At 58.5% G+C, this 25,868-nt stretch overlaps 4 protein-coding genes and 1 long non-coding RNA gene across 52 annotated transcripts in view, besides 9 other annotated features; 4 read left to right on the forward strand and 1 right to left on the reverse strand.

Annotated features, from left to right (window-relative positions):
* The window catches only part of PLEKHM2 (pleckstrin homology and RUN domain containing M2), a 53,264-nt gene extending 52,124 nt beyond the window's left edge, over window positions 1–1,140 (forward strand). For all 5 annotated transcript variants that reach the window (XM_017000757.1, XM_017000758.1, NM_015164.4 and 2 more), the window contains one exon: window positions 168–1,140. In XM_017000757.1, the coding sequence (XP_016856246.1) occupies window positions 168–305 (138 nt within the window). In that variant the 3' untranslated portion in view covers window positions 306–1,140. The remainder of the gene's footprint in view (window positions 1–167) is intronic.
* Window positions 963–1,728: an enhancer, noted in NCBI's record as "H3K27ac-H3K4me1 hESC enhancer chr1:16061087-16061852 (GRCh37/hg19 assembly coordinates)". NCBI's record gives its function as "activates a minimal SCP1, AML or CMV promoter by ChIP-STARR-seq in naive H9 embryonic stem cells {active_cell/tissue: H9 hESC(naive)}" and the evidence as "EXISTENCE:reporter gene assay evidence [ECO:0000049][PMID:30033119]".
* Window positions 1,729–2,495: an enhancer, noted in NCBI's record as "H3K27ac-H3K4me1 hESC enhancer chr1:16061853-16062619 (GRCh37/hg19 assembly coordinates)". NCBI's record gives its function as "activates a minimal SCP1, AML or CMV promoter by ChIP-STARR-seq in naive H9 embryonic stem cells {active_cell/tissue: H9 hESC(naive)}" and the evidence as "EXISTENCE:reporter gene assay evidence [ECO:0000049][PMID:30033119]".
* Window positions 2,629–7,763, forward strand: SLC25A34 (solute carrier family 25 member 34). Of its 3 annotated transcripts, none has more exons than NM_207348.3 (5): window positions 2,629–3,234; window positions 4,300–4,365; window positions 4,464–4,616; window positions 4,965–5,099; window positions 5,595–7,763. In NM_207348.3, exons 1-5 carry the CDS (start codon window positions 2,857–2,859, stop codon window positions 5,775–5,777), a joined length of 915 nt encoding a protein of 304 aa, NP_997231.1. In that variant the 5' UTR covers window positions 2,629–2,856; the 3' UTR covers window positions 5,778–7,763. The 3 variants fall into 3 exon arrangements, with proteins under 3 accessions (NP_997231.1, XP_011539595.1, XP_016856572.1); XM_011541293.2 differs by lacking the exon at window positions 5,595–7,763 and adding an exon at window positions 5,352–5,462; XM_017001083.2 differs by lacking the exon at window positions 4,965–5,099.
* On the reverse strand, window positions 6,422–16,261 carry SLC25A34-AS1 (SLC25A34 and TMEM82 antisense RNA 1). Its single transcript, NR_149050.1, has 2 exons — window positions 15,801–16,261; window positions 6,422–6,593 (listed from the first exon to the last, which is right to left on the reverse strand). It is a non-coding gene; the product is annotated as an SLC25A34 and TMEM82 antisense RNA 1 (long non-coding RNA).
* Window positions 7,980–8,049: an enhancer, noted in NCBI's record as "active region_245". NCBI's record gives its function as "activates an Ori minimal core promoter by ATAC-STARR-seq in GM12878 lymphoblastoid cells {active_cell/tissue: GM12878}" and the evidence as "EXISTENCE:reporter gene assay evidence [ECO:0000049][PMID:35858748]".
* Window positions 8,451–9,231: an enhancer, noted in NCBI's record as "H3K4me1 hESC enhancer chr1:16068575-16069355 (GRCh37/hg19 assembly coordinates)". NCBI's record gives its function as "activates a minimal SCP1, AML or CMV promoter by ChIP-STARR-seq in naive H9 embryonic stem cells {active_cell/tissue: H9 hESC(naive)}" and the evidence as "EXISTENCE:reporter gene assay evidence [ECO:0000049][PMID:30033119]".
* On the forward strand, window positions 8,870–14,353 carry TMEM82 (transmembrane protein 82). Its single transcript, NM_001013641.3, has 6 exons — window positions 8,870–9,018; window positions 9,206–9,278; window positions 9,391–9,565; window positions 10,531–10,951; window positions 13,238–13,425; window positions 13,917–14,353. Exons 1-6 carry the CDS (start codon window positions 8,931–8,933, stop codon window positions 14,001–14,003), a joined length of 1,032 nt encoding a protein of 343 aa, NP_001013663.1. The 5' UTR covers window positions 8,870–8,930; the 3' UTR covers window positions 14,004–14,353.
* Window positions 10,192–10,705: an enhancer, noted in NCBI's record as "H3K27ac-H3K4me1 hESC enhancer chr1:16070316-16070829 (GRCh37/hg19 assembly coordinates)". NCBI's record gives its function as "activates a minimal SCP1, AML or CMV promoter by ChIP-STARR-seq in naive H9 embryonic stem cells {active_cell/tissue: H9 hESC(naive)}" and the evidence as "EXISTENCE:reporter gene assay evidence [ECO:0000049][PMID:30033119]".
* Window positions 10,706–11,218: an enhancer, noted in NCBI's record as "H3K27ac-H3K4me1 hESC enhancer chr1:16070830-16071342 (GRCh37/hg19 assembly coordinates)". NCBI's record gives its function as "activates a minimal SCP1, AML or CMV promoter by ChIP-STARR-seq in naive H9 embryonic stem cells {active_cell/tissue: H9 hESC(naive)}" and the evidence as "EXISTENCE:reporter gene assay evidence [ECO:0000049][PMID:30033119]".
* Window positions 19,775–20,276: an enhancer, noted in NCBI's record as "H3K27ac hESC enhancer chr1:16079899-16080400 (GRCh37/hg19 assembly coordinates)". NCBI's record gives its function as "activates a minimal SCP1, AML or CMV promoter by ChIP-STARR-seq in naive H9 embryonic stem cells {active_cell/tissue: H9 hESC(naive)}" and the evidence as "EXISTENCE:reporter gene assay evidence [ECO:0000049][PMID:30033119]".
* Window positions 20,277–20,776: an enhancer, noted in NCBI's record as "H3K27ac hESC enhancer chr1:16080401-16080900 (GRCh37/hg19 assembly coordinates)". NCBI's record gives its function as "activates a minimal SCP1, AML or CMV promoter by ChIP-STARR-seq in naive H9 embryonic stem cells {active_cell/tissue: H9 hESC(naive)}" and the evidence as "EXISTENCE:reporter gene assay evidence [ECO:0000049][PMID:30033119]".
* Window positions 22,519–23,298: an enhancer, noted in NCBI's record as "H3K4me1 hESC enhancer chr1:16082643-16083422 (GRCh37/hg19 assembly coordinates)". NCBI's record gives its function as "activates a minimal SCP1, AML or CMV promoter by ChIP-STARR-seq in naive and primed H9 embryonic stem cells {active_cell/tissue: H9 hESC(naive and primed)}" and the evidence as "EXISTENCE:reporter gene assay evidence [ECO:0000049][PMID:30033119]".
* Window positions 23,009–25,868, forward strand: part of FBLIM1 (filamin binding LIM protein 1) — a 29,952-nt gene continuing 27,092 nt past the window's right edge. For 17 of the 42 annotated variants that reach the window (XM_047423123.1, XM_047423158.1, XM_047423143.1 and 14 more), the window contains exon 1: window positions 25,166–25,219. The gene's annotated coding sequence lies outside the window, so the exon portion shown is untranslated. Of the gene's footprint in view, window positions 23,104–24,317; window positions 24,415–24,544; window positions 24,727–25,165; window positions 25,220–25,868 lie in introns of those variants that run through there. The other 25 variants (XM_047423104.1, XM_011541617.3, XM_047423129.1 and 22 more) reach the window with 4 other exon arrangements.

The raw sequence follows: 25,868 nt of genomic DNA on the forward strand, positions 1-25,868 counted from the left end.
GGAAGAGCGGGAGAAACTAGCAGCGTGGAAGATGTTCCCAGGGAGAGATGGGGAGGGCCTGACAGGGGCTCCGTGGCCAAGGCAGAGGCAGGCCTGGTGCCCACAAGCCCTGAAGACTCCTGTGGCCCTCAGTGGCCCTCATCTGTTCTCTGCACGCCCCAACACAGGTGGACCTCCCCCACACGGCGATCCAGGAAGCCTCCAACAAGAAGAAATTCGAGGATGCCTTGAGCCTCATCCACAGCGCCTGGCAGCGGAGCGACAGTCTCTGCCGCGGCCGAGCCTCCCGAGACCCCTGGTGCTGAGGCAGAGCTGGTTGGCGTCCCTGGTGGGCAGGAAAGGAAGGCACGCCAGCCGGCAGGCACACTGTCACGGCTGTTGTCATGCTGTCGGGAGCCTACAGTCCACCCCTGCCCTGGGCGGCAGAACCACCGAGTGTGGCTTAAGACAGGGTCCCTCCACTCCAGGGATCCAGATCAGGTGCCCGGCACCCCTGGGCATCCTGCCCGACAGGTAGCGAATGGAGGTCGCTGGGGGCAGAGGGTCCGAGCCCTGTGGGCTCTGCGGATGCACGCCCTCCTCCCGGGCCTCCGCCTCAGTCTGCAGAATTTCTGCCGAGTGGCACCGAGAACACCATCCATCTAAGGACGAACAAAAGAACCAGGAGGGCGGGACCCCCCTCTTCCTCTCCTGGGTTGGGGGCTGGGGCCCTGAGTGCCCAGCCATCCTTGTTCGTGTTTGAACACTCTCCTGGCCACGTGGGGAAGCGGGAACACGGGGTGTCTGCGCATGTTTCCTCCTCCTAGCTCCATCACTGCGCACACAGCTGCCTGCCTCGCCAGATGCAGGGGGGCGGGCAGCCCTCCCTGGCTGCCAGGAGGCTCTGCATGCCCACAGTCCTGCCCTGCCTGTCCCCTCAACCCGGCAGTGCCTGTAGCACCGAGGAGCAAAGGGGGTGGATGGGGGGCTTGGAGAAGGGCGGAGCCCACCAGCCTGGCATCCATGTTGACATCTTCTGACTGTCCCCTGCTTGGCTGGAGCCAGGCCCTTCCCTAGAGTTTCGTCAAGAGCCTCCTGGGGAAGGGGTCAGGTGGTTTGGGTTTTGTTTTTTAAAATAAAATAGACATGTTATATTGCCAAGGCTTGTCACTGGCCCTTTTTGAGCAGGGTAGGGGAAGGGAGCTCTCCAAATCCCTTGGGCCCTTTTCTGCAAACCTTCCTCCATCATCTGCCCTGTGCCTGACACAAGGGACACACGGGACATGCAGAACCAGATCAGCCACCGCTGCCGGGCGGACTCACCGTCTGCAGACCCTCAGGCCCTGGGAGTTTCTCGGCCCGACCTTTGCCCTCCGTCCTGTTCCTGTTTGCTGCAGCAGCCAGGGGAGGAGCAGCCACCAGCTCAAGCCCCAGGGCACGTCTGCACCGCCGCCCACCATCTGCAGCCCACCCCGGGGCAGGACGCTCCTGCCTCCACAGCCCCGGGGGTGAGTGCCCAAACCCAGGAGAATCCAAGCTGTCCTCGCTGCCTCTTGCTGCGCCGTCCCCTCCAGGGCTGGCCAGAGGGTGACAACCCTGCCAGGCCGGGAGCCTGAGGCCCTCAAGCCACTCAGCATTGCTGCCTCAAGGGCCTGGGAGGGAAGGGGTGGGCCCTGGGAGGTGGGTGTGGGACTCCAACTTGGGTGGTTCTGCCTCTAGTTTGGACTGGGCCTTGGGTGACTGAGGGTGGCCTGGCAGGAGAGAGCTGTCTGGGGGCAGAGGCCAAGGTGGGCATGTTGGTACCGGCCCCAGCCTGAGCAGACACACCTGACAGCTGGCCCAGGTGGCGTTCTCTTCTCAGCGGGCACAAAGGGCATCCCAGGGCAGGCCTGGCAGCAAGTCCTTACCAGCCAAGGTCACTCCTCAAGTCCTACTCACCCAGGTGCCCTGAAGTCCTGGGAGCAGCGAGGGGGGCATAGGAGCCAGAGGCAGTGGGGGTGGGGGCGAGCAGGCGATGCGGGTGCCTTTATCGGGTGCAGCACTGACCTAGGCACACTCTTCTCATCGCCAGTCCTCCACAGAACCTTCTGGAGTGGATGTCAGTATCTCCATTTTACAAATGAGAGAAACTGAAGCTCTGAGAGGAAGTGACTTGCCCAGGGGTCACACATGAGAGCCACACCTGGGATTCCAATCAGCTCCCCAGGGCTCCAGAGCCCTTCTCTACTTCTGACCCTGCTGAGCATGGGCCTATAGACGGTGGGAGCCAGACTGAAGACTTGAGTCCTGGAAAGGGGAAGTCAGTCACCAGGGGCATATCAGGGGCAGGGTGGGGCAGGGGCGGAGTTGGCCGTGTACCCCATGCCAGGGACCTCCCAGTCACTTGCCCCCTGCCTAGGGCTCTGCCAAAGCTGGACAGGCTAAGCCAGAGGCAAGGCAGGGGTGCCAGCCCTTTGCCCAGGGCCAGAGGGAGGCCAGGAGGAGGTGCCTGGGCTGGTTGGCACCTTCTCCCTATCCACGCTCTCCCTCCAGTCCCAAGTGACCTTTCCCCCAGATCCCAGGGTCCAGGCCCGCCCTCGGCTGGCAGGTGTGGGCACAGAGGCAGCTGGGATTGGTCGCAGCTGGCGGAGGCGCGTCCCAGGCTCCGGCAGACCGCTGGAACAGCTGAGCAGAGCAGGTGGACTGCTGAGATAGACCAGGGACACCAGGCAGCCACAGGCCTGTCAGACCAGGACCCTTACCCTCTAGACATGGCCTCGGTCCCCTGCAAACCCCAGCCCCGTAGCCCTGCGAGGTTACAGACAGCCTAAACGCCACCACCACAGGGCCTGTGCCGTGCCCCTGACCCGGGCACAGAAGGCCACTGGCCCGGAGGCCATGGAGACGGTGCCCCCAGCAGTGGACCTGGTGCTGGGTGCTTCTGCCTGCTGCCTGGCCTGTGTCTTCACCAACCCCCTGGAGGTGGTGAAGACGCGGCTGCAGCTGCAGGGGGAGCTGCAGGCCCGGGGCACCTACCCACGGCCCTACCATGGCTTCATAGCCTCTGTCGCTGCTGTGGCCCGAGCAGACGGGCTGTGGGGCCTGCAGAAGGGGCTGGCTGCCGGCCTTCTGTACCAAGGCCTCATGAATGGCGTTCGTTTCTACTGCTACAGCCTGGCGTGCCAGGCTGGCCTCACGCAGCAACCAGGTGGCACCGTGGTTGCGGGAGCCGTGGCGGGGGCACTGGGAGCCTTCGTGGGGAGCCCTGCTTACCTGGTGAGTGGCTTGTCTCCATCGTCCACCCTCCACCATCCCATGACCCAGCTCCCACAGGGGCCCTGCAGCCTCCAAAGGCAGGGCTCAGTGGACCTGGGTGGGGTGGGGCAGCCGGGGTGGGGCTGCTCCCTGGAACATCCTAGCCCAAGCCTGGAATCTGCCCCTTGGCCCAGGGCCTTGCTCTGATCCATGCTCCCCTGCGGTCCCTGCCCCACTGGTCCTGAGCCAGGGGAGGGGGCAGAGGGTGTCAGATGTGCTGGCTCAAATCCTGGCTTGGTTACTTCTCTTCCCGCATGGCCTCATGTACGATAAGAATAAAAGCTACCCTTGAGGGCCTCCGCCTCGTGTGCACTCTGCAGGGGGGCCTCAGGGCCACCCAAAACAAATAAAAAATTAAAAAATGTTTTGAAGAAAGCTACCCTTGGCTGGGTGCAGTGGCTCACGCCTGTAATCCCAGCACTTTGGGAGGCCGAGGCGGGCAGATCACCTGAGGTCAGGAGTTTGAGACCAGCATGGTCAACATGGTGAAACCCTGTCTCTGCTAAAAAGTACAAAAATTAGCTGGGCGTGGTGATGCATGCCTGTAATCCCAGCTACCGGGGAGGCTGAGGCAGGAGAATCACTTGAGCCCAGTTGGCAGAGCTTGCAGTGAGCCAAGATCATGGCACTGTACTTCAGCCTGGGCAACACAGCAAGACTCTGCCTCAAAAAAAAAAAAAGGAAAGAAAGAAAAAAAAAGCTCCCCTTGAGCAAAGGCTCGCCTTGCCCTTGGCTGGTGCTGGAGGATCATTGTCTCACTTAATCCTCAGAACAGCTTTCCAACCGTGACAGAATTGAGGCCCAGAAAAGGTTAAGTAACTTGCTCCAAGTCACACTGAGACGCAAAACCCAGGCCAACCCCAGAGCTGCACCTCAACCCTATTTCACTTGACCCCTAAGCTTCAGGCTCGGGACCATGGAGCTGTGAGTTTCAGGGGCACGGGGGCAGGGCGCCCTCAACACACACAGCTCACCCTGGCTCTCCCAGGCTCCATCCCCACACCCGTGTCCTCTCTGCTCCCATAGATCAAAACGCAGCTGCAAGCTCAGACAGTGGCCGCAGTGGCCGTGGGACACCAGCACAATCACCAGGTGAGGCCTGCCACTCTCAGAGCTCCCTGGGGGCATGGATTGGGCATGCTCCCAGCCTAGGCAGGGGTGGCCAGTGACCCCGTGCCCTCTCCCCACAGACTGTCCTGGGTGCCTTGGAGACCATCTGGCGGCAGCAAGGGCTCTTGGGGCTGTGGCAGGGCGTTGGTGGGGCTGTGCCCCGAGTCATGGTGGGCTCAGCTGCCCAGCTGGCCACCTTCGCCTCTGCCAAGGCCTGGGTACAGAAGCAACAGGTGAGGAGCTGGGGACACCTGTGCCTATCCACAGAGACACACCGGACTGAGGGGGGCCACCTGCCTCCTTCCACACGGGGAAGACCAGGGGGTGGCAACAGATGGGGCCCTGCCTCTGCCCTCAGAGTCGTGACTCCGGCCCTTGGTACCAGCAGGAGTGTGGGGTCAGCAGTGAACCCCAAAGCTGAGAAGGAGCTCAGGGTGGCAGGGCTGGGGGATGGCTGGAGGGGCCTCATCTGCTCCCCTTTCTGTAGCCCTTTTAGCCCCTGTGTGGTAGGAGGCCGGGAGGGCACGACGTGGGTGGGTAGAGAGCTGTTGCAGGGATCAGCACCTGTGCCATCCCCACAGTGGCTCCCTGAGGACAGCTGGCTGGTGGCCCTGGCTGGGGGCATGATCAGCAGCATAGCCGTGGTTGTCGTCATGACTCCCTTCGATGTGGTCAGCACGCGGCTATACAATCAGCCGGTGGACACAGCTGGCAGGGTGAGCAGGGGCGGGTCTAGGGGAGACCGTGGGGAGCTGGGAGCACCCCCCCAACACACACACACACACACACACTCTCACACACTCACACTCACACATGCACAGCCAGAGACACGCAGACACAGGCCAGGTATGCAAACACATTAACTGGGCTTGTTTGCTGAGCCCCCGGGTCCCAGGCACAGGCTAAGCACTTTCACATCTGGATTTTATTCCATCCTTATAATCACATTCATCTTCCTGATGAGGAAGCTGAGGCTCAGACAGATCAACTGACTTGCATGAGTTCCCCCAGCTGGTAAGGGGAGGAGCCAGAACTGGAATTCAGGCCTGACCCCACAGCCTTCCCATGGCGCCGCAGCCTCACAGGTGTGTCCAATACAAAGGTGCTGTCCATAGGGTGTGTGGGGGTGAAATTGACCCGTGTGCCAAGATGTGGTGCCAGCCAGGGCCTCAAGGCCCCTGTAGTAACACTCACCCCATGTCTTTCCCCAGGGCCAGCTCTATGGGGGCCTCACCGACTGCATGGTGAAGATCTGGCGGCAGGAGGGCCCCCTGGCACTCTACAAGGGCCTGGGCCCCGCCTACCTGCGCCTGGGCCCCCACACCATCCTCAGCATGCTCTTCTGGGACGAGCTTCGGAAACTGGCTGGGCGGGCCCAGCACAAGGGCACCTAGACGACGGCCCTCACCCCCACGTCCTGACACGGCCGGCACTTGGCCGGAAGTGAGAGCCTGCTCCAGGACAACTGGCTGTCCCGGGGCGGGCCATGGGCCCAGGCCCTGCCAGAGGTCCCGGGAGAGTGTGGACAGCTCTGGTCCATCCAGCCCCTTGGCCCACCCAGGTCCAGAGCATCCACTTCAAGTTACCACCCATTCTGTCTTCCAGACAGTTCTCTTCCTTCTCTGTACTGCGTACTGGGTCACCACATCCCAGAGCCTTGCTCAGTTATAGCAACTGCTGCGGGCGTGCACATGGCATAGGCCCAGTAACTTACATACATCGGCTCACTTAGGCCTCAGACAGCAGCACGAGGCAGGCACTTTTACTTCTTTTACCATTAGAAAGCCAAGGCCTAGAGTGGTGGGCTTTGACCACAGCCACACAATTTTGAAGTGGCAGAGCCAGGACTGGAGCTTAGCCCTGCTCACCCTAGACCTATGCGCTTGACAAGTGCGTGACTGTGACAGGCCCATGGGCCCGGACTGCCCATAGGGGTCACTGTACCATGGCAAAGGCTGAGGTGCACCAGGAGGCTGTGGCGTCGTCACCTGCCTTATTTGCTGGAGAAGCTGTAGCAAAGAACCACAGACTGGGCGACTTAGACAATAGAAATGTATTTTCTCACAGTTCTGGAGGCTGGATGCTGGAGACCAAGGTGTCAGTGGGCTGGTTTCTTCTGAGGCCTCTGTCCATGGCTTGCAGATGCTGCTTTCTCTCTGTGTCTGCACATGGTGGTCCCTCGATGTGCGTCTGGGTCCTGATCTCCTCCTCTTATAAGGACACAAATCATGTTGGCTTAGGGCCCACCCTCATGACCCCACTTTAATTTTTTTTTTTTTTTTTGAGATGAAGTCTCACTCTGCCACCCAAGCTGGAGTGCAGTGGCACGATCTCGGTTCACTGCAACCTTGGCCTCCTAGGTTCAAGCAATTCTCCTGCCCCAGCCTCCTGAGTAGCTGGGATTACAGGTGTGTGCCACCACACCCGGCCAATTTTTGTATCTTTAGTAGAGATGGGGTTTTGCCATGTTGGCCAGACTGGTCTCGAACTCCTGACCTCAAGTGATCCACTGGCCTTGGCCTCCCAAAGTGCTGGGATTACAGGCATGAGCCACCTCACTTGGCCCAATTTTAACTTAATTATCTCTGTCAAGAGCCTATCTCCATATACAGTCACATCCTGAGCTACTAGGGGGTAGGACTTCAACATGCACTTCTGCAGGGGCCGCAGTTCAGCCAACATCATCTTTTTTTTTGAGATGGAGTCTCGCTTTGTTGCCCAGGCTGGAGTGCGGTGGTGCAATCTCGGCTCACCACAACCTCCACCTCCCAGGTTCAAGTGATTCTCCTGCCTCAGCCTCCCGAGTTGCTGGGACTATAGGTGTGCGCCACCATGCCCAGCTAATTTTGTATTTTTAGTAGAGACAGGCTTTCGCTGTGTTGGCCAGGCTGGTCTTGAATGCCTGACCTTGCCGCCCGCCTCGGCCTCCCAAAATGCTGGGATTACAGGCGTGAGCCACCGCGCCTGGCCTCAGCCAACATCATCTAAGGGCTCTCACGGAGGGCCTCCCAGCTGCCCGCCCTGTGGGCATTTGCACATATCCTGACAAGCCTGAAAGAAGCTCCGGGTGCCCATTGTTCAGTCCAGGTGCCCATTGTTCCCGGGACTGAGGCCCGGGAAAGGGAAGCGACGTGGCAGGGCCAGCAGCAGACCCTGGGCCTTTCTCTAGACTGAGCACCATTCCCCGTGGGTGTGCTCTCAGCGCCGCACCGACCTTCACACTGCAGAGATGGATGCCAACTCCCTGGCAGGGGCAGGACTGCTGCCGAGCAGCCCCACCTGCCCTCCCAGCCACACCCCAAGTCTGTAAGGGCCGCTCCCAGGAACACCTGCTACTGCACACTCCAAACCAATAAAGTTTTATATTTTGTTTACTTCAACGACCCTCCTCTGTGGTGAATCTCAGTCTCCCCCATCCCTGACCCCCACCTTCTGCTCCCTCTGCCCTTTCTGTTTGTGAAAGCAGGATGGGAGCCGTGGTCCACCTGTTCAGCTCCGCCCTGCTGGACCCAGGTGAGGCCTGCCACCTAGTGGACCCAGGGAGGAGCATCAGGAAGGGCGGCCCCGGCCTGTGGGAGGAGAAGGCTCAGGCAGGCTCGGGCTGCAGGAGATTCCACACCGAGTCAGAGCCGGAGGCTTTGGGAAGCTGGAACCAGACCTTACAAAAAGCAGGCAGAGCTGACCTCCTGGCTGTGGGGGAAGAGAGCCCCAGACCTCAGGCTGAGAGGGCACAGCTGATCTCTGGCTATGGGGGGATAGAGTCCCTACTCTCAGACCCTGGGCTGAAGGGTCAGAGCCCACACTTCAGGCTGCAAGAGGACAGGACCCACACCTAAGGCGGGGCAGGACAGATGGAGCCTGGGACTTCGAAGGGGCATTGGGTGGTTCAAGCCCTCAAGGAAGATTGCTATTTTTTTTTTTTTTTTTTTTTTTTAGACAGAGTGTTGCTCTGTTGCCCAGGCTGGAGTGCAATGGTGTGATCTCAGCTCACTGCAACCTCCGCCTCCTGGGTTCAAGCCATTCTCCTGCCTCAGCCTCCCGAGTAGCTGGGATTACAGGTGCCTGCCACCACGCCCGGCTAATTTTTTGTATTTTTAGTAGAGACAGAGTTTTACCATATTGGTCAGGCTGGTCTCGAACTCCTGACCTTGTGATCTGCCCACCTTGGCCTCCCAAAGTGCTGGGATTACAAGTGTAAGCCACTGCGCCTGTCCTCCCTCAAGGAAGATTTCAAGTAAAGTGGATGCCAGACTTTAGCAGGGACAGAGACCAGAGACCAGCCCAGAGACACCTGTCCCTTCACCCCACACTGCCCAAATGGGGAGCCCGGGCAGCAGCTGGCTCCAGGCACCCCGTGTGCCTGGAGCTGGGACCTTGCCCTTCTGGGCCTCGAAGGGTTAACACCCCTGGCTCTCCTCCCCTCCCCTCCCCTGGGCCTTTGACCCCTCCCAGCCTCTCTCCTTCCCTCCACCGACACCTTTGCCCAGTGACGTTGGTCTGTCCTTACGCAGACCTGGCCGGAGGCTGGGGCTCCTTCCGGGGCTGCCATGTTCTCTCTTCCATCCCTCCCCTCCTGGCTCCCCGGCCTCCCCTCCCTCGAGTGGGGCTCTAGCCTCCTTGACTCCCTCCTGCAAGGTGAGCACCTCGCCCCATTCCTGCCTTGGCCCCGCCCCCTTCCAGCTCTTTGCAGTGCAGGGTGGACCCCACCCACCTGGTCTCCCGACACCCCTGCCCCTTGGCCGCCCCCTCTGACCCTACCAATGAAGCCTGCCCTCCTAACACCCCTGCACGCTGCCTCGCTGCCTCCCTCCCGCCCCCTCAGGCCTGATCGGGGCCCTTGGAGTCTTGGTCCTGAACAGCCTCCTGAAAGTTTACTTCTTCGTGGGCTGTGCCAAGTGAGTGCCCACCTCATCCCCCCAGGGAATGTGGCTGGGGGCACGGGGACCCCCACCAGGGGTCGAAGGTGGCAGTTCTGCACCCCTGCCCACACCCATTCTGTCCCCAAAGTGACCCGCAGCGGCGACCCGAAAAGGAGCGGCTTCGGGCCCAGTGGGCCTCCCTGGAAACGGTGCACCTGGCAGGGCTGGCCCTGTTTCTGACGGTCGTGGGGTCCCGGGTGGCTGCCCTCGTGGTGCTCGAGTTCTCCCTCCGGGCCGTGTCCACGCTGCTGTCCCTGGGCAAGGTGAGGCCTCCGGGAAGGCAGTGGGTGGATCACTCCCCAGCCCAGGGCCCGGGCTCACCCCCGGAATGTGGGCAGCAGGGCCCAGGTCCAGCATCCCAGCCTCTTCGCCGTATTTTCCGTAAGACTGAGAACAGAGGCTGCAGGTTGCACCTTTGGGTTTGGTTGCGGAAGCGGCCACACTCACAGTGGACACAGTCCCAGTCCCAAGAAGACAAGAGCGACAGTTTCTGTAGATCCGGCCCCCCAAATGCCAGGCCCTGCGCCGAGTGCACCGTGTGCATCACGTAATCCTCACAGCCACAGGGGTAAAGGTTTGCTCTGATTCCCCATTTCACAGATGGGGAAACTAAGGCTCAGAGAGTATGTGGCTTGTCTATGGTCAACAGATAGAGTCAGGCTTTGGACCCAGGTCTCTGAGACTCTGAACCACCACCCTTCAGCTAACAGATGGGCCCCAAGTACTAAGACATGATTGAAGGCTGGGCGTGGTGGCTCACGCCTGTAATCCCAGCACTTTGGGAGGCCGAGGCAGGCGGATCACCTGAGGTTAGGATTTCGAGACCAGCCTGGCCAACATGGAGAAACCCCATCTCTAAAAACAAAAACAAACAAACAAAAAAATTAGCTGGGCATGGTGGCGGGTGCCTGTAATCCCAGCTTCTTGGGAGGCTGAGGCAGGAGAATTGCTTGAACCCAGGAGGCGGAGGTTGCAGTGAGCGGAGATCGAGCCACTGTACTCCAGCCTGGGTGACAGAGCAAGACTCTGTCTAAAAAAAAAAACAAAACAAAACCCATATGATTGAAATTAAGGTGAGAGAGATGATCCCCTAGGGCTTCATCTGAAGCCGATGTGGCCCCTTCGGGAACCATCCCCAAGGTCCCTTCAGGCTCCGGCTTCCTGTGGTGGGCAGCACCTGTGGTGAGGCAGCCCCCACATCTCGGCCCCTCTTCGGCACTCCCCGCAGGGCTCCCAGGGTGCCGCCGAGAGGCTGCAGCTCTACCTGCTGTGCCAGTACTCGCTGGGCTGCGGGCTGACCTGTGGCCTGAGCTTCCTGCAGGAGGGCGCCCCTCACCGCACGCTGAACCTGCTGCTGAGCCTCGGGCTGGCCACGCTGCTGGGCCTGGGTGCCCGGCGCCTCCACCGCCACGTCTGCCGCCTCTACGAGCTGCACAGCAGCCAGCGCTACTGTGGGGTGTGCCTGGGCCTGCTGGCCCATGCACATGGCCTCCCCCAGCTGCTGGGCCGTGCCCTGGCCATAGCCTTTGCCGTGGGTGACCTGGCAGCTGTGGCCCTCATCAACCAGGACTTCCTGACCACCTCGGAGGCCATGCGGTTCTGGACACCGCTCACCATCTGCTACACGCTGCTGGTCATCTACATGCAGGGTGAGCGCTGCGGGGCCTGCTCCATTCAATCCACGCACATCCCTCTGTCTGGGTCAGGCTCCGGGGAGGCCGAGAGCCATCAGCCCTCACTCTTGCCATCCCAGAGAGCCTGGTCAGGACAGAGGCTGTGTGGCGGGGGCAGTGCAGAGAAGCAGCATGTAGTGGGCACCCTGAGGTTGTAGTCTTTAGATTGGGCTTTGAAGGATGAGCAGGAGATCCCTAAGAGAAGCGAGGCAGGGAACAGAATCTTGGACAGAGAGAACCGCATGTGCCAATGCCCAGAGGGGAGAGAGGGCATGGCCGTGCCAAACAAGCCACAGGAGTCCAGTGTGGCTGTCACCCCAAGGGCACAGGGAAGGGGTGAGGCTGGCCAGGTTCGAAGGGGCCTGTTGGAGAGCCCTCAACAGCCAGGCGGGGAAGTCTGATGAGAGGCTGCTGTCCAAGTTTGTTTATGTTTTTGTTTTGTTTTGCTTTTCTGTTTTTTGAGATAGGGTTTTGCTTGGTGGCCCAGGCTAGAGTGCAGTGGCACGATCATGGCTCACCGCAGCCTTGACCTTCTGGGCTCAAGTGATTCTCCCACCTCAGCCTCCCAAGTTGTGGGGATTACAGGCACACACCACTATGCCAGGCTAATTTTATTTTTTGTAGAGAAGGGGTCAGCCGGGCACAGTGGCTCATGCCTATAATCCCTGCACTTTGAGAAGCTGAGACAGGCAAATCACGTGAGGTCAGGAGTTCAAGACCAGCCTAACCAACATGGTAAAACCCTGCCTGTACTAAAAATACAAAATTAGCCCAGTGTGGTGGTCCATGCCTGTAATCCAGCTACTCAGGAGGCTGAGGCACAAGAATCGCTTGAACCCAGGAGGTAGAGGTTGCAGTGAGCCAGGATCGAACCACTGCACTCCAGCCTGGGCGACAGAGAGAGATTCTGGAAAGAAAGAAAGAGAGAAAGAGAGAGAGAAAGAGAGAAAGAGAGAAAGAGAGAGAGAGAGAAAGAGAGAGAGAGAGAAAGAGAGAAGGAGGTCTTGGCCGGGCATAGTGGCTCACGCCTGTAATCCCAGCACTTTGGGAGGCTAAGGCAGGTGGATCACCTGAGGTCAGGAGTTTGAGACCAGCTTGGCCAATGTGGTGAAACCCCCGTCTCTACTAGAAATATAAAAATTAGCCAGGTGTGGTGGCAGGGGCCTGTAATCCCAGCTACTTGGGAGGCAGGAGAATTGCTTGAACCTGGGAGGCGGAGGTTGCAGTGAGCCAAGATCGCACCATTGCACTCCAATCTGGGCAACAGGGGCGAAACTCCATCTCAAACAAAAAAAAAAAAAAAAAAGAAGGGGTCTTGCCATGTTGCCCAGGCTGGTCTTGAACTCTTGGGCTCAAGCAATCCACCTGCCTCAGCTTCCCGAAGTGCTGGGATTACAGGCGTGAGCCACTGTGCCCGGCTTACTGCAGGGTTTTTTTTTGTTGTTGTTTTGTTTTGAGATGGAGTCTTGCTCTGTCGCCCAGGCTAGAGTGATCTCGGCTCACTGCAACCTCCAACTCCTGGGTTCAATCAATTCTCCTGCCTCAGCCTCCCAAGTAGCTGGACTCTGTCTCAAAAAACAAACAAACAAAAAAACGGGGCCAAGCATGCTGGCTCATGCCTGTAAACCCAGCACTTTCGGAGGCTGAGGCAGGCAAATCACTTGAGGTCAGGAGTTCAAAACCAGCCTGGCCAACATAGTGAAACCCCGTCTCTACTAAAAATACAAAAAATTAGCCAGGTGTGGTGGTGGTGAGCCAAGATCATGCCACTGCACTCCAGCCTGGGCGACAGAGTAAGACTGTCTCAAAAAAAAAAAAAAAAAAAGAACAGAAGCCGGGAGCCTGGCAAGGAGGCTTCTTGGAAAGAGGAAGGTGGTTTGGGCCCAGGTGGGTCCATGGGAGTGGCGAGAGGTGTTCAGCTGGGAATGTGCTTGGCAGAAGGAGTTGCCAGGGCTAACTGAGGGACTAGAGGCGGGTGTGCGGAAAAGAAAGGAGTCAGACCGACTCCTGCCACTGCGAGGCTGCGAGGCTGTGGGGCTCTGGCCTGGACCAGTTGGAGGCCTGTGGGCTGGGCAGTGAGTCCTGGAGGCAGAGCACCTGGTGCCCTGCAGATACTCGGAGCAGGGATGGGGACCAGGAGGATGTGATGGGAGGAGGGCTGCACGGGAGGGGAAGGCTCATCCTGTGGAGGGTGGGTCAGGGAGCAGGGAGGTCCAGTCCGGGGTGTGTGGTCGGACGGTGACAGGCACCCGCATCCCACAGAGGAGCAGCGGCAGCACCCCGGCCTGCAGAGCCAGGTGCAGACGGTGCTGGTGCGCATGGGCGGCCTCTTCGTGCTGCTGCTGACTGTGGGTCGCTGGCTGGACCTGCTGGGCATCCTTGTCTCCCTACTGGGCGAGCTCTGGTGTCTCGTGGGCGTCCGCACCCTGCTTGACCTCTGCCAGATACAGGTGGGCACCCCCATCCCATGTGTCCCCCAGACAATGAACCCTGCTTCAAACAGCCCAGGAGCCTCAAGAGGCTCAAGTTTAAGAAGAGCCAGCTGGGCACGGTCTCTCACACCTGTAATCCCAAATACTCAGGAGGCTGAGACCTGAGAATCACTTGAACCCAGGAGGTAGAGGTTGCAGTGAGCCAAGATCTTGCCACTGCACTCCAGTCTGGGCAACAGAGTGAGACTCCATCTCCAAAAAAAAAAAAGACAGAGCCAGGGTGACTTCCCTTGGGGGTCAGGGGCAGAGGGAGCTGGAATCACCTCTCCCACCCTCTTTCACCAGGCCAGGGCTGTCCTCCAGGTCACTAGCACCCCCCACCCTGTCCACAGCCCTCTCCAGCAACAACCCAGAGGCCCAAGGGGGAGGAAGTGCCCGGGTCACTGGAGGCCCAAGGCCCGCAGGGGGATGGGTGAATGGGTGGTGTCATTCTCAACGCTTTTCCTCAGGATTTTCCATCCCAGAGGCCTCCAGTGTCAACACCAAGCCAGCCCCTGCCCTCGGCACCCCAGTCCCAGAGTTCGGCCCCCTCTTGACCTGCCTCAGGGAGGATCTGGAGTCTGTCTCAAGCCCACTAGCCTGATCTCCGAGGCCTTGACCCCAGGGCGATGCCTGGAGGCAGAGTGGCAGAGCTGGCCTCCTGCCCAGAGCTCAGCACAGGCCCTGGGAGCCCCGAGAAGGGAAGGCAGGATTTGGGGATGGGAGCCTCTGGAGAGGGGACACCTGGGGACCCCTGGTTGAACCCTCTTTTTCTTGGGGTGGGCAATGATGCAGCCTCTCAGACCTGCCTTCCTGGGCAGGGGTGGGGGTGCATCCTCAGGAGGGCTCCCCCTTTACTGGTCTCCCTTCCCTTCTCCATGAACAATAAAGACGATGTCTTTCTCAACCTGTGCTTAGAATCACGAACACACAGAGGCCAGGCGTGGTGGCTCACGCCTGTAATCCCAATACGTTCGGAGGCTAAGGTGGGCAGATCACCTAAGGTCAGGAGTTCAAGACCAGCCTGGCCAAGATGGCGAAACCCTGTCTCTACTAAAAATACAAAAATTAGCTGGGCATGGTGGTGGGTGCCTGTAATCCTAGCTACTGAGGAGGCTGAGGCAGGAGAACTGCTTGAACCTGGGAGGCGGAGGTTGCAGTGAGCCGAGATTCGTGCCACTGCACTCCAGCCTGGGTGACAGAGCAAGACTCTGTCTCAGAAACAAAACAACAACAACAAAGAATAATCACAAACACAGAGAGCAGGAAAGAGGCTTTTCTGAGGCCACACAGCTCTTCTGGCAGGTCCTGGGATATGTGCCTCAGGCTGGCCTGGGCTGGGTCCCCTGGGGGACGTGGCTCCTTGCAGACTGAGCAAAACCATTCTGGGTAGAGAACTGGGTAGAGTGGTGGGGGGGCATGTAGTACCGTAGTACCGAGGTGGCTGATGAGGTGAGGGGACGGGGGGGATGGACACTTGGTCTGGCACCCACCTGCAGTCTTGGGTGGATAGTGGCCATGTCCTGTCCCATCCCAGGCTGGGAAACAGCTGAAGGACGCACAATGCTGACCAGGCCTCTGCTGGGTGCTCTGTGGTCCCCAGCCCCAACCCTGACTTCTTGAAGGCTATGAGCATCCCTCCCATCTCAGCCCGTTCAGGGCCCAGCTCAGGAAGGCCAAAGGGTTGGGTACCAGCTCCTCTGCCTACCCTCTGTGTGACCTTAGACAAGCCACTGCCCCTCTCTGAACCTGGCAGAAGAATTACCACTGCATGCTGGGTGTCTGCCATGTGCTGGGTACTTTCACCGTTTCATTTCATTTTGACATCAGCGCCAAGAGGCAGGCACTGTTATCCCTTTTTACAGAGTCAGAAACTGAGGCTCAGAGAAGTTAAGTGACTTGCTCAAGGGCGCACAGGCATTAAGTAGCAAACCTGGGATTTGAATCCAGGTGGCCTGGCCCCCACAGCTCAAGTGCTTTGAATGCTCCCTGCTACCCTCTTCTTGTTGAAAAGCTGGGGCCAGGGAAACTAACAGAGATGAGAAATATGGCACGTCCATTACCGACAGGCTCTGGAATGTGGTTCCAGCCACCTCGGTGCAAAGGAGCCCAGCTCCAGCCCCCAGGGCCCTTTGGTTCCATGGGGATCCAGGGCTGCAACTCAGGGCCCTTTCCTAGCGGAAGCCCCACGGGGCAAAGGAGCCTCCCGGCCAGTGGTCTTTCTGGAGGGGGTTTGAGAGGCATGGGGGTGGCCAGGAAGGAGGCATTAGGGAGGAGGGGAGGCCTGGAGAGGGCACCTTGAGGATTCCAGGCTCTGATGGGTCCCTCCCTCTCGGCAAAGGCACCACACTCACCCGAAGACTGCTGCTTGGGAGCAGGCAGGGGTGACTCAAGGATCCTTCTCGCTCTACGCTCAGCACACCTGGGATACAGAGCAGGCTGCACCCAAGGCAGGGCCGGGTGGTTTCAGCTCATTCCCCGAAGAATGGCCACCCCTTGGACAGCTCCAGCAGCACCCTTTGAACCGTGCTCCTAGCCCTACCACCAGGACAGGCCTCTCATCCCAGGGCGTGGTCGCTGGGGTTGGGAAAATGCCTACGGAATCCCCTCCCCCAATGCAGGACCCAGTCCATGCCGCCTGGGAATGTGCTCTGTTCCCTCCGGGCAGGAAATGTGCCCCAGTCTGGAAGGAAATGGCTCAGTTAGGTGGGCACAGGGCCAGCCCCTTGCCGGACCCAGACTGGGCTCTGGGTTCCAAGCGGGGGCCAGTGTTTTTGCTGGAATGTGCTTTAGCCTCTGGATCCCTGGCACAGCCTGGGCCCCATTAGGGACAGGGCCAGGAGGGGACTGGACTCAGCAGTCCTTTCCTTTTTATGGGCACAGGGATTGTTTTCCAAACAAAAATCAGGACACGTGGGCTGGAATAGCATTCTTTTCTTATCGAAATATTTTCATGAAAAGACTGACAAGGGCATAAAATGAGCTCACTCTAAATGAGGCATTTAGCAAATCTCCACACCAAATGGAGAAAATAGGCCTGAAGTCCAGCAGGCATAGGACAATCCAAATTGTATGGTCTGGGCAAAGCATGAGGCTGGGACCAGTTCCCCAAGGGGACCCGAAGAGCCTGACCCTTGGGGCCTGACCACCAGGACCAAGGTTCTAGGGTCAGGGCAACATCGTGCTGAAGAGGTGGGGGACCAGCGTCCCCAGGCCCTGCGTAAAGTGGGTAGTGACCCCTGGGGCAGCTGGGATTGGGGTTAGCTGGCCTCCCCATCCTGAGCCCCCTACTTCTGGCTTTTCTGAGCTCTGGCATTTTCTTTCTGAGGACTTGCATTTCTTCACCCATTCATTCATTCAGTGTCATCACTGAGTACCTGCGTGGATCCAGGCATCAGGCTGGCACTGGGGACACTGAGAGGAGTAAGGGAGGTTCCCTTCCACAAAATGCTGCAAAGAAAAGTAAAGCCGGAGGCTGGGCGCGGTGGCTCACGCCTGTAATCCCAGCACTTTGGGAGGCCGAGGCGGGCAGATCACCTGAGGTCAGGAGTTTGAGACCAGCTTGACCAACATGGAGAAACCCCGTCTCTACGAAAAATACAAAATTAGCCGGGCGTGGTGGCGCGTGCCTGCAATCCCAGCTACTCAGGAGGCTGAGGCAGGAGAATCGCTTGAACCCGGGAGGCGGAGGTTGTAGTGAGTCGAGATTGTCGCACTGCACTCCAGCCCGGGCAACAGAGTGAGACTCTGTCTCAAAACAAACTAACAAAGAAACAAAGAAAAGTAAAGCCGGGTCAGGGGACAGAGTGACGGGGGCAGAAGTGAGAGAAGGTGTATTTGTTATCTACAGCTGCGTCACAAATTACCCCCCAAACTTGAAGAGTTTAAAACAACAGACACTGATCGTCTTGCTCTTTCTGTGGGTCAGGGATCTGGGTGCTGCTGAGCCGGGTCCTGTGTCTCAGGGCTACTGCCAAGGGTCAGCGAGGCTGTGGTGTCGTCGTAAGGCCCAGGGCCTCCCTTCTTCCTTGCCACGTCGGGCTCCTGCAAGGCACCCCTACAATGCGGCCGTTGGCTTTCCTCAGAGCCCACCAGGGAGAGGGGTGGAGGACAAGCAAGCCCACGCTTTGTGACTCAGTGCTGAAAGTGACATCCTATTGTTTTGGCCACAATCTATCATTGAGGAGAGGTCCCCAGGTCCCACCCACCCGAGGGGAGGGCATGGAGGCCAGGAGGTGGGGATCCTGGGGGCATCTCAGAAGCTGCCGTCCACGGAGGGCTCCTGCGAGGAGGGGGCATTGGAGCAGACACCTGAACAGAGTGAGGGGGCAACCAAGCAAACAGCGGAGGGAAGAACTTCCCAGGCCAAGAAGACGGCTCAACAAGGGCCTTGCGGCAGGAACAGGCCAGGGCATTTAGGAAGGTGGTAGAGCAGGGCACAGTGGCACACGCCTGTAATCCCAGCACTTTGGGAGGATAAGGTGGGTGGATCACGAGGTCAGGAATTCAAGACCAGCCTGGCCAAGATGGTGAAACCCCGTCTCTACTAAAGATACAAAAATGAGCCAGGCGTGGTGGCGAGTGCCCGTAATCCCAGCTACTCTGGAGGCTGAGGCAGTGAATTGCTTGAACCCAGGAGGCTGAGGCAGAGAATTGCTTGAACCCAGGAGGCTGAGGCAGAGAATTGCTTGAATACAGGAGGCGGAGGTTGCAGTGAGCCCAGATCACACCACTGCACTCCAGCCTGGGTGACAGAGCCAGACTCTGTCTCAGAAAAAAAAAAAAAAAAAAGGAAGGTGGTAGAGAGGGTGGAGCGGCTGGGCCTGGAGCCCCGGGCGAGGCTATGGACTGCGTTGCCCTGAGGGGAGCCAGCGGAGGGTTTTGCACAAGGACATGACGGAAGCTGACGTACACCTTGAGAGGAGTCCTCTCGTGGCTGTTTTCAGAATAGTTTGGAAGCATTTGGAATAACCCAGGTGAGAAGACAGGCGTTCCCAGGCCAAGGGGGTGGTATTGAAGCCCAGGTGGGTTTCAAGGCTCTGGAGTGGACTGAGGGACTGAGGCAGGGTCAGCGCCGCTGCAGCAGAGGGGTGAGGGGTGCAGTGGTGGGAGATGCTGTCTCGGGGGTGGGTTGGGGCAGGATCACACAGGGCCAGGGTGAGGGGCTTGGCATTGTCCCAGAGAGCAGCGGGGAGCCACAGAGGGCTGTGCACAGAAGGGCGTTAGATGCTGCTTTAGTGAGGTGTTCTGGCTACTGTGAGAAGAGGGGATTGTAAAGAATAAGAGTGAGGCATATGGGCCAGGTGTAGTGGCTCACGCCTGTAATCCCAACACTTTGGGAGGCTGAGACAGGAGGATTTCGTGAGCCCAGGAGTTCGAGGCCAGTCTGGGCAACATAGTGAGACCTCATCTCTACAAATAATTTAAAAAATTACACTTTGGGAGGCCGAGGCAGGTGGATCACGAGGTCAGGAGTTTGAGACCATCCTGCCTAACACGGTGAAACCCCGTCTCTACTAAAAATACAAAAAATTAGCTGGGCGTGGTGGTGGGCGCCTGTAGTCCCAGCTACTCAGGAGGCTGAGGCAGGAGAATGGCATGAACCCGGGAGGTGGAGCTTGCAGTGAACCGAAATCATGCCACTGCACTCCAGCCTGGGCGACAGAGCAAGACTATGTCTCAAAAAAAAAAAAAATACAAAAAATTAGCTGGGCATGGTGATGGGCACCTGTAGTCTCAGCTACTCAGGAGGCTGAGGCAGGAGAATGGCGTGAACCCGGGAGGCAGAGCTTGCAGTGAGCCGAGATGGCGCCACTGCACTCCAGCCTGGGCAACAGAGCAACACTCTGTCTCAAAAAATAAAATAATAAAAAATAAAATAAAAAGAGCAAGGCAGATCCAATTTTTAGGACTCCCTTTAGAAAAAATAATACAGAATTCGTATGAAAGTGACTATTTTTTTGGGTGGGGGGGAGAACAGAGTCTCACTGTGTTGCCCAGGCTGGAGTGCAATGGCATGATCTCAGCTCACTGAAACCTCCGCCTCCTGAGTTCAAGCGATTCTCCTGCCTCAGCCTACTGAGTACCTGGGATTACAGGCACACACCACCAAGACCGGATAATTTTTGTATTTTTAGAAGAGACGGGGTTTCACCATGTTGGCCAGGCTGGTCTCGAACTCCTGACGTCAGGTGATCTGCCTGCCTCAGCTTCCCAAAGTGCTGGGATTACAGGCCTGAGCCACTGTTCCTGGCCAAAAGTGACTATTTAGAACAAAGAGAAAAAGCACAACAAATGACTGGAGACTTGGAGATTTGGGTCCTTCTTCTGATGTCTCCCTGGACAGTTTGCTAGGCGTTCTTCATGGACATGCTTCCTGAGTGAAACCAGCTTCTCTCCTTGTCTAGAACACTCTGTAACTCCCAGCAACTCCCAGCCTTCACAGGGGCCATGGAAGTGAGGCCATGAGCATAAGTTTTATTAACTTCACAATAAGCCCACCTCTGGCTAAGAGAGAAGAGGGCGAGACCCACAGGGGCAATGGCAGGTTCCAGGCCACATTGTGCTTTAGTAAGGAGGAGGCTCAGGGCTTGAGGGTGCGGAGATAGATCAGCAAGGGCAGATGCTGGGATAGATGCTGCTGGGAGTAGAGGGTCCCAGTGGGATGGGGGCTCAAGGAGGGGGCTGGGATCAGTGAGGGTTTGGGGCTAGCTCAAGGACCCTCCCAAATAAGGGGCAGAAGGGCCCTGACTAGCAAGGCCTAGGGCGAGGAGGGGCCCCCTCAGTCTGCTGAGCCTCAGGCCCCTCCTTGGCCTCTCCCACACTTCTCACCCCCTCACCCTGGAGCCTGTGCTGATTCGCTGAGTGGACGGTCTGGCCGTGGGAACCAGCACGCCTGGTCAGAGCCAGTTCAGGCCCCTAAACCAGAGCGGGATTAACGCGGAGACAATATTGTCACAGCCAGGTCTTGGGAAGCTGGGCTTTGCCTGGGTGAGGCAGTGGGACACAGGATTGGAGCCTGAGAGTGGACACCATGTGGCTCTAGCTGTGGCCTGGTCGATTCCCACTTGGCTTTTTTTCCTTTTTTCTTTTTTGGCGGAGTCTTGCTCTGTTGTCTAGGCTGGAGTGTAGTGGCACGATCTTGGCTCACTGCAACCTCTGCCTCCAGGGTTCAAGCAATTCTCTTGCCTCAGCCTCCCGAGTAGCTGGGATTACAGGCGCCCGCCACCACGCAGAGCTATTTTTTTTTTTTTTTTGAGACAGAGTTTTGCTCTTGTCACCCAGGCTGGAGTGCAGTGGTGCGATCTCAGCTCACTGCAACCTCTGCCTCCCAGGTTCAAGCAATTCTCCTGCCTTAGCCTGCTGAGTACCCGGGATTACAGGCACCTGCCACCACGCCCGGCTAATTTTTGTATTTTTAGTAGAGACAGGGTTTTGCCATGTTGGCCAGGCTGGTCTCAAATTCCTGAACTCAAATGATCCGCCCGCCTCGGCCTCCCAAAGTGCTGTGATTATAGGTGTGAGCCACTGCACCCAGCCTCATGACTGACTATTTATTTAGAACAAGGAAAAAAAGCGCAACAAATAACTGCAGAAATACAATTTTAACTGGTTTAAGAAAAAGTAAGGACCGGGCACGGTGGCTCATGCCTGTAATCCCAGCACTTTGGGAGGCCAAGGCAGGCAGATCACGAGGTCAGGAGATCAAGACCATCCTGGCTAACACAGTGAAACCCCGTCTCTACTAAAAAAAAAATACAAAAAATTAGCCGGGCATGGTGGCGTGCGCCTGTAGTCCCAGCTGCTGGGGAGGCTGAGGCAGGAGAATGGCGTGAACCTGGGAGGCAGAGGTTGCAGTGAGCCGAGATCGTGCCACTGTACTCCAGCCTGGGTGACAGAGCAAAACTCTGTCTCAAAAAACAAAAAAAAAAAAAAAAAAAAAAAAGAAAGAAAGAAAGAAAAGAAAAAAGAAAAAGTAAGGGAGCCCATAGTTGTACTCCAGTCTGGGCGACAGAGCAAGACTGTCTCAAAAGAATAAAAAATAAAAAGTAAGGGAAAAAAATGCATTGACTCTGGAGGTCTGGTAGTAGGATTGCAGGTATGGCTGGATCCAGCAGCTGATGAAATCAGTTATCTTTCTTTCCTATCTCTTTGCTCTGCTGTCCTCTGTGGTGGTCCAAGTGGGGGGCAAAAGTGGTGTCAAGCTTGTATTCTGCCAGCCAACAAGCCCAGAGAGCTGATCTTAGAACTAACAGCCACTATGATTGGCTGGACATGGGTCATGTATACACCAGGCACTGAGAGTGGAAGAGAGGTTCCCCAAACAGAAACTGAGTGCTGTTATCAGAATCAGGGAAAGTAGTGCTGGCTATCAGGAGCCATGGATGTTCCTTGGATTCTCTTGCAGGACAAAGTCACGTCCTTCCCTTCCCTTCAGAACTTTGTCCCTCTTACTAAAACTTCTATCCTTCATGTGGTAGGGAGAGCAAAGGAACTCATCTCTGAACACCTACTGAGCATCAGGTATTTTTACCCACATTTACCCCACCAGATTCTTGCTATGAAGCCACAAGGGACAAACCTGGGTTGGCAACCCCTCGGTTGCAAGAGGAAACTGAGGCCCAGAGAGAAGTGATTTGCCCAAGGCTGGCAAGTGGCAGAGCTGGAATCACTCCCAGATACTGATGTTACTCACAGCTGTATCTGTGTCCCCATCTGACCCGGCCACCATGGGGGAGCTCCCTTTTCTCTATGCTGCTCCTCTCCCCGCCCTGCCTAGCACAGGGCCCCACACACAGCAGCGCCCAGGAAATAAGCATTGGACTGACCTGACTCCAAGCAGGTAGGGTGGAAGATGGAGGATGGAGGAAGGAGCTGGGAGGCCCAAGGGGCTTCTGAGGCTGTCTGCCAAGCTGACCTCTGACCTTTAAAGCCCATGTTTTCCCTTCTGCCCCCTTTCCCTGGGAATATTCGTCCCTATTCTCACACTGGCTCCTCCCCATCTCAGCTTAACCCTCACCTCCTCAGAGAGGATTTCCCCCCACACCCCACACCCCACACCCACCCCACCCCCTTTTGTCTCAGACCCCTTGTCCATTCCTTCATAGCACCTTTTACTATTGGTTATTGTTATGTTAATTTGCTTTATGGTTTGCTCTACCCAATCTCCCTGTAAGGACTGTGGGGACAAGGACTGATCATGTCTGATTTGATCCCGTCGGCTCCTTGACTCATGCATTGCACACAGTAGGTGCCCGGTCAGTGTCTGCTCAGTCAAAGCTCTCCACTGTGGAGGTGCCACCCCCGCCCCGGCAAGCAGACTTGCCCTCAAACCTCTCTTCCACCCCTTCCCTGCCACTCAGGGTCTCAGCTGCCACCATCCTAATAGAAGATTGAGCCCCTTGCCTGCTGGAGCCATCTAAGGGAGAAGAAAGCCGTTGTGAGCCTGGCAGGGAGGGCGGAGGGCAGCAGAGCCTCTGAGCTGGCAGACAAAGGGCGTGTGTTCTCATCCAGCGCACTTCCTGGGTTTCCGTTGCAGGAAGTTTGGCACCTGCCGATCGGTGACATCGACACCCGAGCTGCTGCGGGCCAGGACGAATCCCTCCATCCGGGAGCAGTGGTGGCGGTGGAACAGGTGGCCTGGGGTGCTGGAGGCAGGTAAGCAGAGGCAGTTGAACCCCTCATTCCCCTTGGACTGTCCCAGAGCAAATGTGGGAAGCCTGGGTCCTAGACTAAGTCAGTGTGACCTTGAACAAGGCCCCAAATCAACTCTTCGTTGCCTCACTATCCCACCTGGGGGTGCAACAGGTGGTTCAGGGGCTGTCATGGAGGTGAGGGCAGGCAGCTCCACTTTTATCTCTTAAATAAACTTCTGGGTCACTAAGCATTTGCAAAGGGGTTCTACAGCCAAAAGCGCCTGAAAACCCCCAGATCGCACCTTCCTCCTTTGAGTCCTTCCCGTCTCTGTCGTTCAGAGGGTATGGGGAAGTCTCCTCCAAAGGGTGCTGCAAAGCTGGAGTTTTGGGGGGCAGGGGCAGGATATCACTGCCAAGCCAGGAATGAGCCGAGCAGGGACTCAGACAGCCTTGAGTCCCAGCCTCGCCCTGCTGCACAGAACTCTCAGCACCTCCAAGCCCCAGCTTCCGATTCTGTAAAGGATGGCACTGGTACCTGTTCTTGAGACTAGCAGAGCTGTGTGCCCAGGGACACAGCGGCTCTGGTTTGAATTTGGCTCTGCCATTTGCCCCTAGTGTGGCCTTGAGCCTCTCGGGGCCTCAGTGTCCTTGACCGTGAACAGGAATCATCAGCCCTGGTGCTCATGGCTCTTGTGGGATTAGGATGGGGATGAGGATGGGTACCAGCACCTAGAAAGCCCCTATCAATGGCAGCTCCTGGGACTGCTGCTGTTACTGCAGCTTGGCTGAGAGGATCAAATGGGAAAAGGGGCGACAAGAGGGATGGGAGGGGCGATGATCAGTGGGTGAGGGCGGAGGCAGCCTCCTCTGACCCTCATAAACCAGCCTCCCTCAGAAACAGCCCCAGAGCCACCCTGGAGGGGTGACTGTAGCTGAGGGGTTGCAGGACGGGCCAGATCCTGTCTGGCCACCCCGCAGATGGCGCTGGGTCCAGCGCTCCTCAAGCCTCAGCCACTGTGGCTTTAATCAAAAGAACAATCTGTCTGCCTCTGAATCAGACCCAGATTCCTTTCCCCACAATGTCCCTGAGGCCTCCAGGGACCCAGGCAGTCCATCCCGGCCCCATCCCGGGCCCCAGAGTCCAGGCTCTGCCTCCCCTCCCGCTCCCGTCCTAATTGCTCCAGCTGGGAGGGGGAGGGTCACTGGATGTGGAGGGAGGGGTTCAGCCACAGGGCCAGCCGGGCCCTGCCTTCCAGAGCTCCTGGAGCGGCCTGTCCCCCGGGACACCGGGACCCACCTGCAGAGGGCTTACCGCTCAGGAGAGCAGAACAAGGTGACCTGCTCCACTGGGGGTCTCCGAGACCCCCACCCTCAGGAACACTCCCGGAAAAAGCCCCCAACCCAGCATATATTAACCACTATTAATCACAGTCCTGGCTGTAACTGTCACCTTTTATCCTCAGGCCAACCTGGAGAGGTAGGCAGTGGCTACCTCCACTTTACAGATGAAGACACTGAGGCTCAGGAGGTGGCGTGACTGCTCCGGGTCTCACGCTTAGTAAACGGCCGCAGAACCCTGGTCGGTTTGACGCAAGACCCTGGCGGATCCCAGAGCCAAAGTAAGCGCTCACCTCCGCCGGACAGGGTAGGTGGGGTTGCCAACCCAGGAGAGCGAGGGAAGGGGGACGGCAGGGACCACTCGGGGTCCATGAAGAACGCGAGGGGATGGGCAGCGGGGAGGGAAGGAAACCCACCCCGACTCCCCATTCTCCTACCCCCACTCCCCATCCCTCCCATTCCCCCATCGCCCCCATCCCCATTCCCCCCCATTCCCACCCCCTGGCCTGTGCCAAGGGGGAGGGGAGGCGTCGTCCAGGGAACAAAGGGAGGGGGAAGGGGCGGCGCGGGGCGCGGCCGGGCAGGTTGGGGGGCAGGTAGGGGCCGCTTCCGCGGGGCGGGAATCCCGCGCCCCCTCCCCCCGAGCCTCACCTTTTATGGTAAAGCGGCGCGGGGCGGCGGGGCGGAGGGAGCCGAGGGGGCGGGGAGGGCGGACGGGCGGAGGGGACGGGAGGCCCAGCGGCTCCGGGCTCCGCTGGCTCGGGCGTCGGATCGGAGCCGCCGGGGCGCGGGCGGCCCAGGTAAGCGGGCCGGGTGGGTGGGGGTCGCGTCCCTCCGTCCCTGTCCCCGGTGCACACAGGTGACAGCGCCGGCAGTGCTCGGCCGGAGCCTGCTCGGTCGCCAGCCGGGACCCCCGGCGCGGCGCCCCTGGAGGGGCCTGCGGGTGGGGGGTGCGGTCCTCACGCCCTTTGCGTCCCAGTCTCTTGGTCTCTCTCCCCGGAGTCGGGGAGTCGGCAGGTCCGGGGCGAGGGCTCAGTGAGGCCGGCGGAGGGCCGAGTCCCAGCCCGGGAGCGGGAGCCGGGGACCCGGCGCGCAGGGCGGAAGCTCCCGCACAAAAGGCCGGAGTCCCGCACATGGATCGAATTAAAGCTCCGGCGGCGCCCAGCGGTGACCCCGGCGGCCGCCCTGCTCGGCTGCCTGCGGAGGGTCCCGCGTTTCCGGAGCCCGGGGGCGCTCCAGGCCCCTTTTCCTAGCCAGGGTCAGGCAAGGGGAGGGACGGGTCCCGGGGCTGCTCCTCTCTGGGCCTCACGCGCCCGTCGGGGGCTGAGAAGGTGTGGAGATGGGCGATACCCAGGTGTGTGCCCTGGGATGATCTTGGCGTCGGCCCCTACCCCTCACCTCCCACCCAAGCCTGAGGACCCCGGGGAGAGGCTGGGGCCGCGCCCAGAT

Source organism: Homo sapiens, chromosome 1 (genome assembly GCF_000001405.40).
Source record: "Homo sapiens chromosome 1, GRCh38.p14 Primary Assembly".
NCBI classification, from domain to species: Eukaryota; Metazoa; Chordata; class Mammalia; order Primates; family Hominidae; genus Homo; species Homo sapiens.